Below are 19,376 nucleotides of genomic sequence, written 5' to 3' on the forward strand. Positions count from 1 at the left end.
ACAAGGCAAAGATGTTCCCTCTTACCACTCCTATTCAACATTGTATTGAAAGTCCTAGCTAGTCCATTCAAGAAAAGGAAATAAAAGGTATACAGATTGGGAAGTAAGAAATAAAACTATCTTTGTTTGCAGATAACATTATTGTCTATGTAGATAATTCCAAACAATTTTTTTAAAAAGAAAAACCTCCTGAAACTAATGAGATTATAGCAAGGTCACAGGATACAAAATTAATATAGAGAGTCCATTGCTTTCCTTATACCAGCAATGAACAATTGAAATTTGACATTTAAAAACACAATACCAGCTGGGCACAGTAGCCCCAGCACTTTGGGAGGCTGAAGCGGGCGAATCACTTGAGGTCAGGAGTTCGAGACCAGTCTGGCCAACATGGTGAAATTCCATCTCTGCTAAAAATACAAAAATTAGCTGGGGCCAGGCATGGTGGCTCACGCCTGTAATCCCAGCACTTTGGGAGCCTGAGGCAGGTTGGATCACTTGAGGTCAGGAGTTCAAGACCAGACTGGCCAACATGGTGAAACCCCATCTCTACTAATAATACAAAAATTAGCCAGGCATGGTGGCACACACCTGTAATCCCAGCTACTCGGGAGGCTGAGGCAAGAGAATCACTTGAACCTGGGAGGCGGAGGTTGCAGTGAGCTGAGATAGTGACGTTGCACTAAAGCCTGGGGGACAAGAGTGAAACTCCGTCTCCAAAAAAAAAAACCAAAACCCAAACCAAAAAGCCAGGTATGGTGGCAGGCACCTGAAATCCCAGCTATTTGGGAGGCTGAGGCACAAGAATTGCTTGAACTCAGGAGGCAGAGGTTGAAGTGAGCCGAGATTGTGCCACTGCACTCCTCTTGGGTGACAAGAGCGAAACTCCATCTCAAAAAAAAAAAAATTAATAACAAATACATAAATTACCTAATATTTTTATAGAATCTAATTTCTAAAAAATTCAATTTCTAGGCCAGGCATCGTGGCTCACGCCTGTAATCCCAACACTTTGGGAGGCCACCTGAGGTTGGGAGTTCGAGACCAGCCTGACCAACATGGAGAAACCCTGTCTCTACTAAAAATGCAAAATTAGCCAGGCATGGTGGACACCTGTAATCCCAGCTACTCGGGAGGCTGTGTCAGGAGAATTGCTTGAACCTAGGAGGCGGAGGTTGCAGTGAGCTGAGATCGCGCCATTGCACTCCAGCCTGGGCAACAAGAGTGAAAATCCGTCTCAAAAAAAAAAAAAAAAAAGAATTCAATTTCTAAGAAATCCATTATGAAAAGGCTAAATATTGCATGATTCCAATTCTATGACATTCTGGAAAAGAAAAACACTATAGAGATAGTAAAATTATCAGTGGTTGCAAGAGGTTTGGAGTTCAGGAGATGGGATGAATAGGTGAAGCACAGGGGACTTTTAGGGCAGTAAAATTATTCTCTATGGTACTGTAATGGTGGATACAAAAGCATTTGTCAAAACCTATTTAATTTTACAGCACAAAGAGTGAATCTTAATGTATGCAATTTGTTAAAAAAGAAAAAAAATCAGCCAGGCATAGTGGCTCACGCCTGTAATCCCAGCACTTTGGGAGTACGAGGCAGGTGGATCACGAGATCAGGAGATTGAGACCATCCTGGCTAACATGATGAAACCGCGTCTCTACTAAAAATACAAAAAATTAGCCAGGTGTGGTGGTGGGTGCCTTTAGTTCCAGCTACTCGGGAGGCTGAGGCAGAAGAGTTGCTTGAACCCGGGAGTTGGAGCTTGCAGTGAGCAGAGATCGCGCCACTGCACTCCAGCCTGGGCAACAGAGCGAGACTCCATCTCAAAAAAAGAAAAAAGAAAAAAATCATCTAGGAGGTTAGTGGATCTGAGGAAGGAATACAAACTATGACAAGATAATCTAACCATTATAAATGTATGAAACAATCTCTGTGAAGGAGTTGGGGGGAAAAGATGCTGACTTAAGTAACTTTGGAAATGAGTGGAACTGGTAAGACTAAAGCAAAAGGAACTGTGTCTGAGCACTGTGCCCTAGTGATAAAGCTGTTTGTCATGAAGGTAGGGATTAACAATACTTCTACTACTATACATGTACACAGTGTTAACACTGAAATAAATCAGTTCAGTAAATGGATGGCAGAGGGTGGGAGCCAGGTTTTTCACAATTTAAGCAGGAATATATAGAAAGCAGGGGGAGCCTAGAATACTCCATGTAGTAATGGATTAGAGTTGAAAACATCAGTAGTCACTGAAATTTAACTCAATATATACTTACAGATAATTATGTATAGAAATATGTATAGGTAGGCCAGGTGTGGTGGCTCACGCCTGTAATCCCAGCACTTTGGGAGGCCGAGGAGGGCGGATCACGAGGTCAGGAGATCGAGACCATCCTGGCTAACACAGTGAAACCCCGTCTCTACTAAAAGTACAAAAAAAATTAGCCGGGCGTGGTGGCAGGCACCTGTAATCCCAGCTACTCAGGAGGCTGAGGCAGGAGAATGGCGGGAACCCGGGAGGCAGAGCTTGCAGTGAGCTGAGATTGTGCCACTGCACTCCAGCCTAGGTGACAGAGCAAGACTCCATCTCAAAAAAAAAAAAAGGAAATATGTATAGGTATGGGTGGAAACATACAACTGTTTTGCTCTGTCAGATAATAGGGCCTAAAAGAAATGTTACCCTTCCAGCAATGAGCACACTTAACACTTGGATCTTGGTTGGTTTCTTTTCTTTCTTTCTTTCTTTTTTTTTTTTTTGACAGAGTCTTTCTCTGTCACCCAGGCTGGAGTGCAGTGGCGCCATCTCGGCTCACTGTGACCTCTGCCTCCTGGGTTCAAGTGATTCTCCTGCCTCTGCCTCCTGAGTAGCTGGCATTACAGGCACACGCCGCCATGCCTGACTAACTTTTTGTATTTTTAGTAGAGACGGGGTTTCACCATGTTGGCCAGGCTGGTCTGGAACTCCTGACCTCATGGTCCACCCACCTCGGCCTACCAAAGTGCTGGGATTACAGGCATGAGCCACTGGACCTGGCCTCTTTTATTTTTTTTTTAAGAGACAGGGTCTTGCTCTGTCACTCAGGCTGGAGTGCAGTGGCAAGTGATCATGGGTCACTGCAGCCTTGAACTCCTGGGCCCAACCAATCCTCTCACCTCAGTATTCTGAATAGCTGAGACTACAGGTGTGTGCTGCCATGCCCAACTAATTTTTTTTATTTTTCGTTAGAGACAGGGTCTCACTATGTTGCCCAGGCTGGTCTGGAACTCCTGGCCTCAAGCAATACTCCCACCTTGGCCTCCCAAAGGGCTGGGATTACAGGCGTGAACCATCGTGCCTGGCCTCCATACTGTTTTTCATGATGGCTGTACTAATTTATATTCCCACCAATAGTGTGTGAGGGTTCCCTTTTTTGCAAATCTTTGCCAACATTTGTCATATTTTGTCTTTTTGATAGTAACCATTTTAACAGGTATGACTCAACATCTCATTGGATTTTCAATTTGTATTTCCATGATGATCAATGATGTTGAGCATTTTTTTCATATACCTGTTGGTCATTTGTATGTCTTCCTTTGAGAAATGTCTATTCAGAGTTTTTGCCCACTTCTTAACCAGGCTGTTTGATTTCTTGAGACTGTGTTGTTTAAGTTCATTATACATTTTAGTTATTATCCCCTTATCAGATGTACGGCTTGCAAATATTTTCTACCATTCTTTAGGTTGTCTTTTTACTTTGTTGGTTGTTTCCTTTGCTATGCAGGAGCTTTTTAGTTTGATGCAATCTCATTTGTCTATTTTTGCTTTTGTTGCCTGTGTTTTTGGGGTCATACCCCAAAAAAAACCATTGCCCAGGCCAATGTCAAGAAACCAGATCATGATTTCTAATACAGTTTCCCAATAAAAGGAACAAGGGCTCTTTGGAAGAATGGTTGAATCTAGGACTAGGGCAGGAAATACACAGGATGAGTCTAGAACATATTGTAAATGCCAGAAAGTAAGGAAGAGCTAGGGGAGGGGGCAGGAACTGCTTTAATATGGGAGCATGTCCAAGGGACATATGGGGGCCACCTAAAAGATCTCCCAATGGTCAAAGCTGAAACAATTTGAACAACAAAATAAAGCAGTGTTGGATTATAACCAAAAGTACAAAATAAACATTCATGAGTGCATATTGATATAAATGAATTAATAATGAATTAATAAATGGAGGAGAAGAGACAAATCTCCCTGCAGAATAAATTTCAAGCAATTTATGTAGATACTCTGTCTTAAAGGAGAGAGTGCCTAACTCTCTACTTAAATGTGGGCCATGCATAGGACTTCCTTCCAAAGAGTACAGTATGGCAAGGGGGGAATGAAGTAACTTTACAATGGAAAAAATCTGAAAAACACAGCCAGATCATCAAGGCCAACATCAACAGTAAAACATCATGTTAATAGTATTGTCCCTTGACAGGATGTGATGAAAATGTCATTTAACCTCTGTGGCCATCCTCTCAATATCTTATAACTCCTGTCTAATCATGAGACGTGATTAGAGGAAAATCATGAGACAAATTTTAACTGTGGCATCCCACAAAATACTCAATGAGTACCCTCAAAACTGCCAAGGTCATCAAAAATGGCCTGAGAAAATGCCACAGCCAAGAGGAGCCTAAAGAGCCCTATTATTAAATGTAATGTTGTATCCTGGATAAGATAGTGGAATAGAAAAAGGGCATTAGGTGAAACAGGAAATCTAAGCAACTCATTGACTTTAGCTAACAGTAATGTAGCAGTAGAGGTTCACTAATTGTAACAAAGACATACCAATGTAAGATGTGGGAAACTGGATGTGGGGTATATGGGGACTCTCTGTACTATCTTCTCAATTTTCCTGTAAATCTAAAACTGTTTTAGAAAATAAGACCACCAGGCCGGGCACAGTGGTTCATGCCTGTAATCCCAGCACTTTGGGAGGCTGAGGCAGGTGGATCACCTGAGGTTGGGAGTTTGAGACCAGCCTGGCCAACATGGTGAAACCCTGTCTCTACTAAAAATACAGAATTAGCCAGGTGTGGTGGCACACACCTGTAACCCCAGGTACTCGGGAAGCTGAGGCAGGAGAATCGCTTGAACCCAGGAGGTGGAGGTTGCAGTGAGCCAGGATTGCACCACTGCACTCCAGCCTGTGTGACAGAGTAAGACTCTGTCTCAAAAAAAAAAAAAAAAAGGAATCCAAGGCTGGGCATGGTGGCTCATACCTGCTGAAGCCCAGGAGTTCAAGACCAGCTTGGGCAACAAAGCGAAATCCTGTCTCTACAAAAAATTAAAAAGTTAGCTGGGCATGGTGACATTTGCCTATGATCCCAGCTACTTGGGAGGGTGGGGTGGGAGGATTGCTTGACCCTGTGAAGTCGAGGCTGCAGTGAGCCATGATTGTGTTACTGTACTTCAATCTGAACAATAGAATGAGAGCCTGTCTCAAAAAAAAAAAAAAAAAAATGCAGTTGTGGGAGCGAGGGCAGTATGGATGACCACGCTTGGCTATGAGCTGATCACTATGGAAGCTGGGTGGCAGGTGCCAGAGCTGAATGAGAGGAGGAGGAGCAGTGTGCGGGTGCAGAGGTAGGGCAGGAGAAGGGATTTCAGGAGGAGCAATGGGCCTTCGGCCTCCCTGTGCCTGCAGAGGGCTGTCTCCTGAAGCCTCATGTGTGGTTATTCAGCATCTGGGAAACTGTTCCCTCACCAAGCCCTCTCCTCTGTTCCTCTGTCACTATCTCCAAGGTTGTCCTTATGCCATTCTCCCCCTGTGTTATGGTGGACTGTGCATGCTCCTTCCCTCCACTCACACCAGCCTGTATGTCCTCAGGGCTGGGAAGGTCAGTCCAGTACTGTCTGGGAGGTCCAGTCCCTAGCACAGCCCTCTGTCAATGCTGATTATTTTTTAGCTCTTAGAAATTTCTTCCTTTTGTTTAGTAAAACATTGCCTCCTACAACTTTAAACTAGCTCCTCTCCTCTCCCTGCCCTGTTCCCCAAAACAGAAGAAATCCACTTCCTTAGCATGTGATGCCCTTAGGTATTTAAAGAATGCTGTTTTGTTTTTCATTCAACATTTATGTAGCCAGGCACAGTGCCAGTGTTCCGTTAATTATTTTCATATTCACGCAGAGTGGCCTCCATTCCTTCGGTCATTCTTCAAGGGGCGTAATTTCCAGCCTTCCAGCCTATTGCTCCTCCTGGAAAGCCCTTCTGCCTGCCCCACCTCTGCGCCCACACACCGCTCCTCCTGCCACTCAGCTCTGTCACCTGCCTCCCAGCCTCCATAGTGATCAGCTCACAGCCAAGCGTGGTCACCCACACTCCCCCTGCCCCCACTACTGGATTCATTGTTTTAGTGGTCTTATTTTTTAGAACAGTTTTTAGATTTACAGAAAAATTGAGAAGATAGTACAGAGAGTCCCCATATGCCCCACGCCCAGTTTCCCCTGTTATTAACATCTTACATTTATACGTCTTTGTTAGAGTTAGTGAAGGTGGTGTCTGCTTCACTTCAATTTATTAATGTTTCAGAGTAAGGTGCTCAGAGATGAACACAGGGCACTAAGGGACAGGGAGGCCTGGGCAGGATGGAGGCACGAGGATGGAAAAGGCCTTGCTCAGTTTGGTAGGCAGTGACAGGAGGGGAGGCTGTGTCAGGAACAGGAACAACAGGGTCTGTTTTGTCCAGGCCCTGCAATGCTGGAACAGGGAGTAAGGCCTTGATTTCCTAGAAGTCCTGGAAGGCTTTGGGTGGGGACTTAGCACAAGGACCTGGCTGCTGCTTCCCACATAGGGCCAGCACATAGAAAGCCTTCAACAAATATTTGTTAACATGACCCCTTTGAAGAAAATGTCTGCGGATGCCTTCGTGAGGTGCCTGTGGTAGGACTCTGAGCTCCCTGTGTTGAGGCCCTGGCTTCAGCTGTAGGAGAATGAGAGTGGTAACTGCTTGACTGAACCCGCCCCCTGGAAGGTGGGTCACATCGTCCTCACCCTTGGGAGTAGCAGTGTGGAGCTGGGTCAGCCCTGGGAGCAGCAGAGGGTGGGGCCTAGGGTGGAGGGACCCAGGTTTTGAGCCAGGAGATATAGGAAGTCCAACTTCTCCAAGGAACAGGCAGGCTGAGGCCTCTGAGGTGGTCAAGACTGGGCAGGCCAGAGCCATGGGCAGCGCAGAAGAGAGGTGGCAAGCAGCATTTCTTATTTTCATTCTGCTTCTAATAGTTAGCTGTGTGGCCACGGGCAAATCACTTTCCCTTTCTGAATCTATGTCATGGGAAAATGAGGAGATTCATCTGGGTGAGCTGCCACCTCTAAAGTTGTGTGGCTCCATTTGGGTCACTCATTCAGCAGATATTCCTTGAGCACCTACCATGCTCCAAGCATGGAACAAAGTGCCATTGTGGCTGAGTAGACTGACGTAATTCCTGCCCTTATGGGGCTTATGATCTAGTCAGGACAGACAACAAACAGATAACTAGTAAATACATAGAAAGTTACAAATTGCTGTTAGGAATGGAATGAAAAGCAGGGTGGGTGGGGAGGTTCTTAAATGGGGTAGCTAAGGGAAGTCTGCTGTGAGGAGGTGATGTTTAAGCTGAGACCTGAATGATGAAAATAATAAGCTATGGGACTGGGCACAGTGGCTCACACTTGTAATCCCAGCACTTTGGGAGGCCAAGGAAGGAGGATGGCTGAGGCCAGGATTTCGAGACCAGCCTGGGCAACATGATGAAACCCCGTCTCTACCAAAAACAAAAATTAGCCGGGTGTGGTGGTGCACACCTGTAGTCCCAGCTACTCGGGAGGCTGAGGCAGGAGGATCCCTTGAGCCCAGGAGGCTGAGATTGTAGTGAGCTGAAATCATGCAACTGCACTCCAGCCTAGGGACAGAGTGAGACCTTGTCTCAAAAAAAGAAAAAAAAAAAAAAAAAAAAAAAGAATAAGCTATGGAACGACCTGGCAGAAAAGTGTTCAAGACAGACAAGCAGCAAGTTCAAGGTTCAAGGCAGGAGGGAGGAGGCGTGTTGGGGGGATTGGAAGGGAGGGCAGGGTGGCTGGAACAGACTAAGCAAGGCAGCAGTGACATGAGGCTGAGATGGAGGGCTTGGAAGGGTGAGACAGCCCAGGCCTTAGGCGGCATGAGATTTATTTGATCCCAGGTGCTTTGGGATGCTGTTTGAAGCATCTAGCCAGAGAAGCAACTGACTCCAGCTGTGTGCATGCAGCAAGTGGGTTGGAGGTGGCTGAGAGAGCAAGCAGGACAGCAGTGCTCCTGAGTGGATCCCTGGTTCAAGGTTGGGCTCTGCCACTTTATGTCTCATTACCTTGGGCAAGCTACTTAACCTGTTTGTGCCTCAGTTTCCTCATTGTAGTTGCTGAAAGCACAGACTCTGAAGACAGACCACCTGATTCAAAGCCTAGGTTTATTGCTTTCCTGATGTGTGATGTTAGACAATTTTTCTTTTCTTTTTCTTTTTTTTTTCTTGAGACGGAGTCTCGCTGTGTCGCCCAGGCTGGAGTGCAGTGGCATGATCTTTGCACACTGCAAGCTCCGCCTCCCGAGTTTATGCCATTCTCCTGCCTCAGCCTCCCAAGTAGCTGGGACTACAAGCACCCGCACCACGCCCGGCTAATTTTCTGTATTTTTAATAGAGATGGGGTTTCACCATGTTAGCCAGGATGGTCTCGATCTCCTGACCTCGTGATCTGCCCACCTCGGCCTCCCAAAGTGCTGGGATTACAGGCATGAGCCACTGCGCCCGGCCGATGTTGGACAATTTTCTTAACCTCAGCATCCTCACCTGTAACATGAGAATAAGAATAGGAGTCAGCTCACTGGATTGTGGTGAGGGTTAAATGGGTTATAGATGCAAAAACTACAAAAGGGCCTGGAATTTAGTGAGTGCTCAATAAATGTTTGTTGGTGCTATTATTACCATTTCATCATCATTGCTATTGTAATTATAAGATGATTGACCGTGGATAGGTAAATTTCCTTTCCTGAACCTCATTTTCCACATCTGAGGATAACCCCCACATGCTAGGATGGTTGTAAGGTGTAAATTCATATATATATGTTTCCTCTCCAGAGTAGGAGCTGGCTAAAGAGCAGCCATTCTGGTTTCTATGCAAGTCCTGGCATTGACTAGGAGGGCCTTTGTTCCCACTGTACTCAACATGAGAGACACACGAGGTGCTTCATGTCCCCCAGAGAACTCTCACATGTGCCATCTCGTGTAGACCCTCAGCAGCTTCAGAGGAAAGGTGGCATAGCTCCACCCCAGTCTTGCCAAAGAGAGACAAAGCCAGGGCTCAGAGCACCCAAAAATTTGTACGTGGTCATATTTCAAGGTCTAGAACCCAAATGGTGGAGGTGGGGAGGGTGTTCCAGATCCCACTTCACATCTCCTTTCAAATTCAGAATCCTTCGGAGACATGTCGATAGATATTCTCACCTGCATTTCACAGGCGAGCAATGGCCCAGGAGGTACTGTGTGCCCCAAATCACATAAGTACAATTTTAAAATATGGAATCAATCTAAGTGTCCGTTAACAGATGAATGGATAAGGAAAATGTGGGACATATACACAATGGAATATCATTCAGCCATAAAAAGGAATGAGATCCTGTCATTTGCAGCAGCGTGGATGGCACTGGAGGCTGTTATGTTAAGTGGAATAAGCCAAGCACAGAAAGACAAATATTGTATGTTCTCACTCATATGTGGGACCTAAAAACTGGATCTCATGAAGATAGGGAGTAGATTGGTGGTTACCAGAGGCTGGGATGGGGAGGAAGAGAGGGAACGAAAAGAAAGAATATGCATGTATTTATTTCCAGTGAACTGTATGCTTAAAAATGGTAAAGATGGTAAATTAGATGTGTATATTGTACTTCAACAACAGCAACTTGGATCCAGGATTAGTCCCAACCCCATGTGTCCTCCACAGAGTGGGCCTCTTGGTTTGTGGCCCTTTTTCTTCTTGAGCCCTATACAGCTGGCATTGGTGGCTCTGGGGCCACTAACCGTTCCTGCCCCTGCCCCTCCTTGCCTGAGCCTTGATTAACAGCTGAGAGGCTGAAGACTGAGCACTGGATTGGGAGTTCAGCAACAAGGATTCTAGTCCTGGCTCTGCCTGTCCCAGGTGTCTCCTTAAAAAGCGGATTGCACCCTTCATCACGGAAGCAAGTATGCCTGTGGACTTCCATCTCCCTTCCAGATAGAACAAAGTAGGAATTCAAGCCAAGGAACAGGAGGGCAGCTGGAGAGAGGAGGACCTGTGGCCACCGAAGTCTGTGAGGGATGGAGGAGAAACAGAGGCCTGCAGGAAAGTGTGGGGTGGGTGGCTGCAAAGATAAGGTCCAGAAGAGGACTGGCTGTTTGATTTTTTATTTTACTTTTTTTTTTTTGAGTCACAGTTTCACTCTGTCACCCAGGCTGGAGTGCAGTGGCACAATCTTGGCTCACCACAACCTCTACCTCTCTGATTGAAATGATTCCCCTGCCTCAGCCTCCCAAGTAGCTGGGATTACAGGCACCGGCCACCATCACCATGCCCGGCTAATTCTTTTTTTTTTCTTTTTTTTTTTTTTTTTTTTTTGAGATGGAGTCTCGCTCTGTCGTCAGGCTGGAGTGCAGTGGCGCAATTTTGGCTCATTGCAACCTCTGCCTCCCAGGTTCAAGCAATTCTCCTGCCTTAGCCTCCCAAGTAGCCGGAACTACAGGCACGTGCCACCATGCCTGGCTAATTTTTTGTATTTTTAGTAGAGACGGGTTTTCACCGTGTTCGTCAGGATGGTCTTGATCTCCTGATCTCGTGATCCACCCGCCTCAGCCTCCCAAAGTTCTAGGATTACAGGCATGAGCCACTGCGCCCAGCCCTAATTTTTGTATTATTAGTAGAGGTGGGGTTTCACCATGTTGGCCAGGCTAGTCTCAAACTCCTGACCTCAGGTGATCAGCCTGCCTCAGCCTCCCAAAGTGCTGGGATTACAGGTGTGAGCCACCACACCTGGCCTATTTTACTTTTTTGGGATAGTCTCTCGCTCTGTTGCCCAGGCTGGAGTGCAGTGGCGCGATCTTGGCTCACTGCAACCTCTACCTCCTGGGCTCAAGAAATCCTCCCACCTCAGCCTGGGACTACAGGCATGCACTATCACATCTGGCTAACTTTTATAATTTGTGTAGATATGTGGTTTCACCATGTTGCCCAGGCTGGTCTCAAACTCCTGGGCTCAAGTGATCCACCCGCCTGGGCCTCCCAAAGTGCTGGGATTACAGGTGTGAGCCACTGCACCTGGTGCCTAGCTGTTTGATTTTTGTTGTAAGTCCTAAGGAAGAGAAAAGAGATTTGCTCGACAAAAACAAAAACAAAAACAAAACAAAACAAAAAGCTGTAATTGGACATTGGGGAAAACTTGAGAGCAATAGTGGCAGTGAGATTGCTGGAGTGGGACAGTGGGTAATCTGATTTAGGTGCTCTTCTAATTCCACGGTTAGAGGAATTCCATATGATGTAGCAAAAGGGGCCCAGGATTTCTCCTGCCTGTCATTTGCTCAGTGATCCCAGATAAATTCACCTCCTGTTTGAGGCCTTCTTTTTCCCATCTAGAAAATCTGTGGGTAGGCTGGGCACGGTGGCTCACGCCTGTAATCCCAGCACTTTGGGAGACCGAGGCGGGTAGATCACCTGAGGTCAGGAGTTCGAGACCAGCCTGACCAACATGGAGAAACCCCATCTCTACTCAAAATACAAAAGGTAGCGCATGCCTGTAATCCCAGCTACTCAGGTGGCTGAGGCAGGAGAATCGTTTGAACCTGGGAGGCAGAGGTTGCAGTGAGCTGAGATTTGGGCCATTGCACTCCAGCCTGGGCAACAACAGCGAAACTCCGTCTCAAAAAAAAATAAAAGAAAAAAAAGAATGAAAATCTGCGGGCAGACCTGGCCAGTCTCTGAGGTCTAACTTTCTGTGACTTCTCCCGAGGGTCTTCACCAGGCCTTCCTTCCAGAGGGTGAATGCGACACACGACCCTTGATCCTGATGAGCCTGGGAAATGAGTTGATACGGATAAGGAAGGAAATATTTTATGAACTGATTGACAATGATGACGAGATGATAAAAAAGTTGTTAAAGCTCAATATTGCATTCCCCAGGTCAGTACTGGAAATGTGCGTAAGTCCCATCAGGTGAAATGAACAATTTTTCACCTGTTATTTTAGTAAAAGAAGGAAAAATATAATACCTGTTGCTGACAAGGGTGAAATGAAACTGGGAGTTGTTGGTACACTCTAGATAGGCTCAATCCTTTTGATAATAATTTTAGCATTACATTTCAAGTGCTATAAAACTGTCCCAACACTTTGAGACAGAGATTCATCTGTGAATTTATAGAGCCGAAATATGGAGAAAGCCCTGCATTAAGATGTTCATTGCAGGGTTGGGTGCGATGGCTCACGCCTATAATCCCAGCACTTTGGGAAGCTGAGGCAGGCAGATCACTTGAGGTCAGGAGTTTGAGACCAACCTGGCCAACATAGTAAAACCCCATCTCTACTAAAAACCCAAAATTAGCCAGGCGTGGTGGCACATGCCTGTAATCCCAACTACTCAGGAGGCTGAGGTAGGAGAATCGCTTGAACCCGGGAGACAGAGGTTGCAGTGAGCTGAGATGGCATCACTGCACTCCAGCCTGGGTAACAGAGTGAAACTGTGTGTTAAAAAATAATAAGGCTGAGCGTGGTGGCTCACTCCTGTAATCCCAGCACTTTGGGAGGCCAAGGCAAGTGGATCACCTGAGGTCAGGAGTTTGAGACCAGGCTGGCCAACATGGTGAAACCCTGCCTCTACTAAAAATACAAAAATTAGCCAGGCATGGTAGTGGGCCTCTGTAATCCCAGCTACTCGGGAGGCTGATACAGGAGAATCACTTGAACCTGGGAGGCAGAGTTTGAAGTGAGCCAAAATTACACCATTGCACTCCAGCCTGGGTGGCAGAGCAAGATTCCATCTCAAAATAATAATAATAATAGGCTGGACGTGGTGGCTCATGCCTGTAATCCCAGCACTTTGGGAGGCCGAGGCAGGTGGATTACCTGAGGTCAGGAGTTTAAGACCAGCTGGCCAACATGGTGAAACCCTGTCTCTAGTAAACATAGTCTACTAAACACACCACCGGGTGTGGTGGCGGGCACCTTTACTCCCAGCTACTCAGGAGGCTGAGGCAGGAGAGTCACTTGAACCCAGGAGGTGAAGGTTGCAGTAAGCCAAGGTTGCACCTTTGCACTCCAGCCTGGGCAACAAGGGCGAAATCTGTCTCAAACAAAAATAATAATAATAAAAAATAAATAAGATGTTCATAGCAGCCATATTCATAATAGAAAAACAATGACAACAACATTGATGTGTGCCACACTAAGGGGATAGTTTATAAAATTGTGGTATATTCTCTTGATAGAACATAATTGTTTTATTTAAAAAATGGTAAGCTTAATGGCTCTGTAACAGCAGGGTAAAATGGGTGATATAATGATACTGGAAAAGGGTGGTACAGAATTGTACATGTGCTATGACTATGCCTTTATAAAACACTTACCCGAGAGAAACCTAGAAGGAAATAAGCAAAAATGACAATGCCTATGGTAAGAGTCGTTTTCTCTGGGAGGTGAGACTAAAGGGGACTTTCTGGTTATATATTCCTCTCATGTTTTATTTTATTTTTATTTACTTATTTTTTTGAGGCAGGTTCTCACTCTGTTCCCCAGGCTGGAGTGCAGTGGCACAATCATGGCTCACTGTAGCCTTGACCTTCTGGGCTCAAGGGATCCTCCCACCTCAGTCTCCTGAGTAGCTGGAACTATAAATGTACACTACAATGCTCAGCTAATTGAAAATTTTTTTGTAGAGATGGGGGTCTCATTACGTTGCCCAAGCTGGTCTTGAACCAGTCCTCCTGCCTTGGTCTTCCAAAATGCTGAGATTTACTTTTATAATTATTAAAAATAAATATGTATCTTGAAAGATTAGATAATTTTTTTTTTACTTTTTCATAGTGTCCAAATTTTCTAGAGTGAATGTTAATGCTTTTATAATGGGAACAAATAACTTTTTTAAGTGTAAAAATTAATTTATTGCCCAGACCAGTGGTCTCAAAACTGTTTCCATCTCACACTGCTATTACTAAAAAGTGTTCAAGCATGTACTCCCTGGTATGTATATGTAATATAAATAACATCTGTTAATTTGTTTTTATTATATCCACATATAATATTACTGTACCAATATATATTATAAACATATAAAAATTGATCTTTTAAAAGAAAAAGAGAAAGATAAATATAAATGAAATCCTACTATTCACATACTCTAGTGGATCTTGTACATCTCCCTGGGTGACATGTCTCTCCACCCCGGCTTTGTTTTGTGTGTGTGTGTGAGAGATGGGGTCTCACTCTGTCATCCAGGCTGGCATGCTGTGGCTGAATCTCAACTCACTGCAACCTCTGCCTCCCGGGCTCAAGTGATCCTCCCACCTCAGCCTCCCCAGTAGCTGGGACAACAGGCAGGCGCCACCATGCCTGGCTAATTTTTTTGTATTTTTTGGTAGAGACGGGGTTTTGCCATGTTGCCCAGGCTGGTCTCAAACTCCTGAGCTCAAAGGATCCACCCACCTTGGCCTCCCAAAGTGCTGGGATTGCATGAGCCACCGCGCCTGGCCTCCACCCCCACTTCGGGACCACCAAGCTAGACTCCCGCAAGTCTTATCACGGGTTCCTCCCCTTCAGTCTCCTGCCTGCTGGATTCTTTCTGCACACTGTGTTCTTGTTAAAACCCTAATCTAGTTGTGTTAAACTCCTGCTTGAAACCTTTCAATGGTATCTCACTGCCTATAGGATAAAGTCCAAACTCAATGCTACCTCAATGACCCACCACAGTCTGACACCCCACTCAAGTCCCCTCCAGCATCTCCTGCCACCTCCAACTCACTCCAGCAGCCCAGGCGGGTTGCCTGCTAGATGCTGCACATACCTTGCCTTTGCCAATGCTGGCCCTTTTGCCTGAAATGCTAACCCCAGTCCTGCCTCCACCCTTTGTGATAAATTCCTGCTCATTCTCTAAGATTCATCTTCTGCAGCAAACCTCCTCAGACTAACCCCAGTTTGGGATAAGTACCCCCTTTCTGCACACTCATAATATTCTCTACACAGCTCTGTCATTGACCGTATCGTGTTGTCATACAGTTACCTGTTTGCACAGCTCTTTCCCTTCCACCTGATTAAGTGCTTCAGGAAGGCAAGGCTGTGCTTTATCCGCCTTTGGTCTCTAGCACCTGTACAGTGCCCAGCATGCAGAAGGTGCTTAATAAATGTTGACTAAATGTGATGGGCCATACTCATTGCAGAAGATTGAAAAACACTGAACAGCAAAAAAAGACAAAACCCAAATCATTTGCAGTCTTCCAGCAATCCCAGTTAGCATCTTCTGTATTTCCTTTTAGTGTTTTATTCACTTCGTGAATATGTGCCAAATATGCCTTTATTGTCATACTCTGTTTTCATAATGGAGCTCATACTTCTTACACATTTTCTTTACTTGCGGTGATATTGTGGTCAGATACGGTTTTGGCAGCAGGTGTGGGAAGCGAGTGATTCCAATGGTAGAGAAAGGGGGTATGAAGGCAGACAGAGCTGCAGGTGATTCCAGCCCTGGCCAATAAGCACACAAAAGGCTCTGACGTGAGATCTTCATGACCTTGAGCAGTGTGAGGTCTTCATGACCTTCTCTAGGCTTTTGACTCCAATCAGCAAAACAAGAAAATTAGAGTAGATCAGTATTTTTTAAAGTATGAACATATTCCACAGGAGGGTTACAGGATGATTTTAGGTGGCTCACAGATTGACGTTTTTAGTTTTAACATTTATGTATTTATTTATGTGAATTAGAAAAAGCAGCATGACTAACTTACTAACTGTGTGATCTGACAGATCTTGTTGCTTAAGACAAAGTTAAAGTAAATATTTAAGTAAAAGGAACTGAACAGATTGAAGGAAAATCATTTGTAATTTTTTTTTTTTTTTTTAGACAGAGTCTTGCTTTGTCACCCAGGCTGGAGTGCAGTGGTGTGATCTTGGCTCACTGCAAACTCTGCCTCCTGGCTTCAAGTGATTCTTCTGCCTCAGCCTCCCAAGTAGATGGGATTACAGGCGCCGCCACCACACCTGACTACTTTTAGTAGAGATGGGGTTTCACCATGTTGGCCAGGCTGGTCTCGAACTCCCAACCTGAGGTGATCCGCCCACCTCGGCCTCCCAAAGTGCTGGGATTACAGGTGTGAGCCACCGTGCCCAGCCCGGAAAATCATTAATAAATTTAAAGAGCAGATGATATGTAGATAAGGCCAACACTGGGGCAGTCTTGTGAGAAAAACAAGCTGAAAAATACTGGCGGTTCCTTCTGGTTCAAGGATGCCACACTTCTCTGATTCCTGGGTATTACCAATATAGGAAATGGCCATGTAGACCTGCCACTCAAAAAAGGGTTTAAGGAGCCTTAGCTCCTTGCATATTGCCTGGCACATGATGGGGATCAGTTAATATCTGTTGAATGGAAATTCATAAAAGGTTTACATAGAGTTGAGTGGGGGCAGATGGAACATTCAGCATCCGCCCTGCTCAGTCAGCATTTGCGGCCCTCATCTAGAATGCTGACCCACAGAATTCTGTCTTATTCATTAATCGTTGAACTCATGCCTTTCTAGACTGCTAAAACAGGCAGAAAACATATCCATTATCTAGCTCAAATCCCTCACGTTTTAACCGAAGACTCTGAGATCCTGAAGATCACAGAGCCGGTGGCAGAGGTACCTGTCCTGTGAATAGCGCAGGCTGGTTATCCTGAAAATCACCCCTACAGAGCACAGGGCGGCCCATGTGGGGTAGAATGCATGGCTGCATCCACAAGAAAGTCAGGAAATCCCCAAGGCCAAAGTGAAGAGGATCACCCAAAACAGACAGACAGTATGAACTAATGCTGGGGATTGCCCAGGAGGGCTTAAGGGCGTCACGGGCTGGTTTTTTTTGGGACGGAGTCTCACTCTGTCGCCCAGGCTAGAGTGCAGTCTCGTGATCTCAGGTCACTGCAATGTCCCCCCACTGGGTTCAAGTGATTCTTGTGGCTCAGCCTCCTGAGTAGCTGGGATTACAGGCGTGTGCCACCACACCTGGCTAATTTTTGTATTTTTAGTAGAGACAGGGTTTCACCATCTTGGCCAGGCTAGTCTCAAACTCCTGATCTGAAGTCATCCACCCGCCTGGTCTCCTAAAGTGCTGGGATTACAGGCATGAGCCACCGCACCCAGCCATGGGTTGATTTTTTAAAGCCTGAAAGGACAGATGCAGCTTTCAGTTCAAGTGAGACAGGGGATTGGAACTGAGACCCCTGTGTGAAGCTGAGGCTACCCTGTTCAGTGAAAAAGTAGACTAGAAATCAATGTGACCATCAGCATCAGGAAGTGACATGGAGTCTTGTCTGTCCTAGCTTAGAATCTAGGTTAAAAAAAAATTATCCCCTAAGAATTAGTCATCACATGCTTTCCCCCTCCTAGGTTTTGGTGAATCCCTTAGCCTCACCCCAATTTCTATGTTTCTGAAATGGAGTGGTTGTGAAAATTAAATGAGTTCACAAATGTAAAGTGCTTGACACATGGTAAGTTCTAAGTCTGAGTGAGATGTTGTTGTTATTTATTATGTAAGAAATTGAGAGTTAATGGAACTTTTTAAGTGAGGACTACCCAGTAGTGTGCTCATGGATGTTTAACAACCAGCTCTCCAAGATGCCGGAGGAGGACCCTGGCTTGCAGTGTTTGCTGATTTCCATAGTGTAAATACTCCCACCATGGCCAGTTTCAAACTACCAACCTGCTGCCACAAGCATGGAGTTGAGAAGAGGTGCACACGGTCAGCTTTCATGAGCGGGTGGCAGCTGGCTTTGTCATATTGCTGATGCTACAGGACTAGCTTGTAGCCATGCTGACCTCTGAGTTTTTTCTTAAGCCAATCTCTATGGATCAAAGTTGACTTTATCTTTGTCGATATAATCTGGCTGGAAGAATGAATGTTCTGACTTGTTAATGATGTATTCAGCTTGTCTGCTTAGGTAAGAGAGTACAGGTGAGTTAGTTGAAGCTTTATACCACCTTGCCTTGCTGTGGTCTCAGGAGGCCTCAGTCCTTCTTCCACCTTCCTCAGCCGCACTTACTATGAGGTGAGGGGGAGGGCAGAGCCAGACCACCATGGCCAGTCCAAGGCAGCCACCAGTCTACCTCCTGTCTCTACAGACCTGCCTGTGCTGGACATCTCACGTAAACCGAATCATGTAATATGTATATACCACACTTTATCCATTTATCAATATAAAATGATTAAGGAGCTATTTTACTTTCTAAGTTCTGTGTTCTAAGTCTGTGAAATCTGGTGTGTATTTTACACTCACAGCACATCTCTATTTCAGACTGGCTGCATTTCAGGTACTCAGTAGCTACAGGTGGCCCATTGCTACTACATGAGACAGCACAGGCCTAAGGGAAGAAAACTGTGGAAAGGGAAAGGGTGCAGAAGGAGAGTCTGGGAGGGTCAGAGAAGCAGAATGAAGCGCCACATGCTTAGGGAGGGGAGAGTGGCAGGAGGCAAGGCTGGAGGGGCGGGACTGGCATGAGAACCTCGGCTTCTGTGCCTGCCCTTTAGTGATGAAGATATGTGCCAGAAGTTCCTCCAGCAGAACAGCTGGAATATCTTTCGGAAGGACCTGTTGCAGCTGCTCGTGGAGCCTTGCCAAAGTCAACTGTTCACTCCAAACCGGCCCAAGAAGAGAGAGATCTACAACCCTAAGTCTGTGGTCCTGGATTTGTGCAGCATCAACAAGACGACTAAACCTCGTTATCCTATTTTTATGGCACCCCAGAAATACCTCCCCCCATTGAGGATTGTCCAAGCCATCAAAGCACCTCGGTACAAAATCCGAGAACTCTTGGCTTAGTGTAAGAGCACAGGGGTCCTTATTTAGGACAAATAAAGGATGGTGGATTGGGCGCTGTGCTTTCTGAATGACCACCATGGGAGCTGTGGGACTTGGAGGAAGGGGGCCTGGAGGGCTGAGCTGTGGGTCCACAGAGGTGTTTGGGGGACAGCAATGGGGGCACAGTCTCCCTTGATGCTTGAGGGCTGGGCTGAGTGAATGGATGGTCAGAGGCTGTGTGTGGACGGGTTAATCATTGGGCATAGGTTCAGGGTAGGAGGGTCTTGTCTGATAAGCTGGATGTGGGGGAGGCTCAAATCAAAGTGGTCAAG

The 19,376-nt window shown here is 45.8% G+C and overlaps 1 protein-coding gene across 16 annotated transcripts in view; it reads left to right on the plus strand.

Moving 5' to 3' along the window:
* Positions 1 to 19,117, plus strand: part of CNBD2 (cyclic nucleotide binding domain containing 2) — a 76,315-nt gene extending 57,198 nt beyond the window's left edge. For 8 of the 16 annotated variants that reach the window (XM_047439921.1, XM_011528593.3, XM_011528590.3 and 5 more), the window contains 2 exons: positions 12,019 to 12,188; positions 18,774 to 19,117. In XM_047439921.1, the coding sequence (XP_047295877.1) occupies positions 12,019 to 12,188; positions 18,774 to 19,065 (462 nt within the window). In that variant the 3' untranslated portion in view covers positions 19,066 to 19,117. Of the gene's footprint in view, positions 1 to 975; positions 1,017 to 10,178; positions 10,483 to 12,018; positions 12,189 to 18,773 lie in introns of those variants that run through there. The other 8 variants (NR_130714.2, XM_047439927.1, NM_001207076.3 and 5 more) reach the window with 5 other exon arrangements.
* Positions 19,118 to 19,376: the final 259 nt, after the last annotated feature.

This window comes from Homo sapiens, chromosome 20 (genome assembly GCF_000001405.40).
Source record: "Homo sapiens chromosome 20, GRCh38.p14 Primary Assembly".
NCBI lineage: Eukaryota > Metazoa > Chordata > Mammalia > Primates > Hominidae > Homo > Homo sapiens.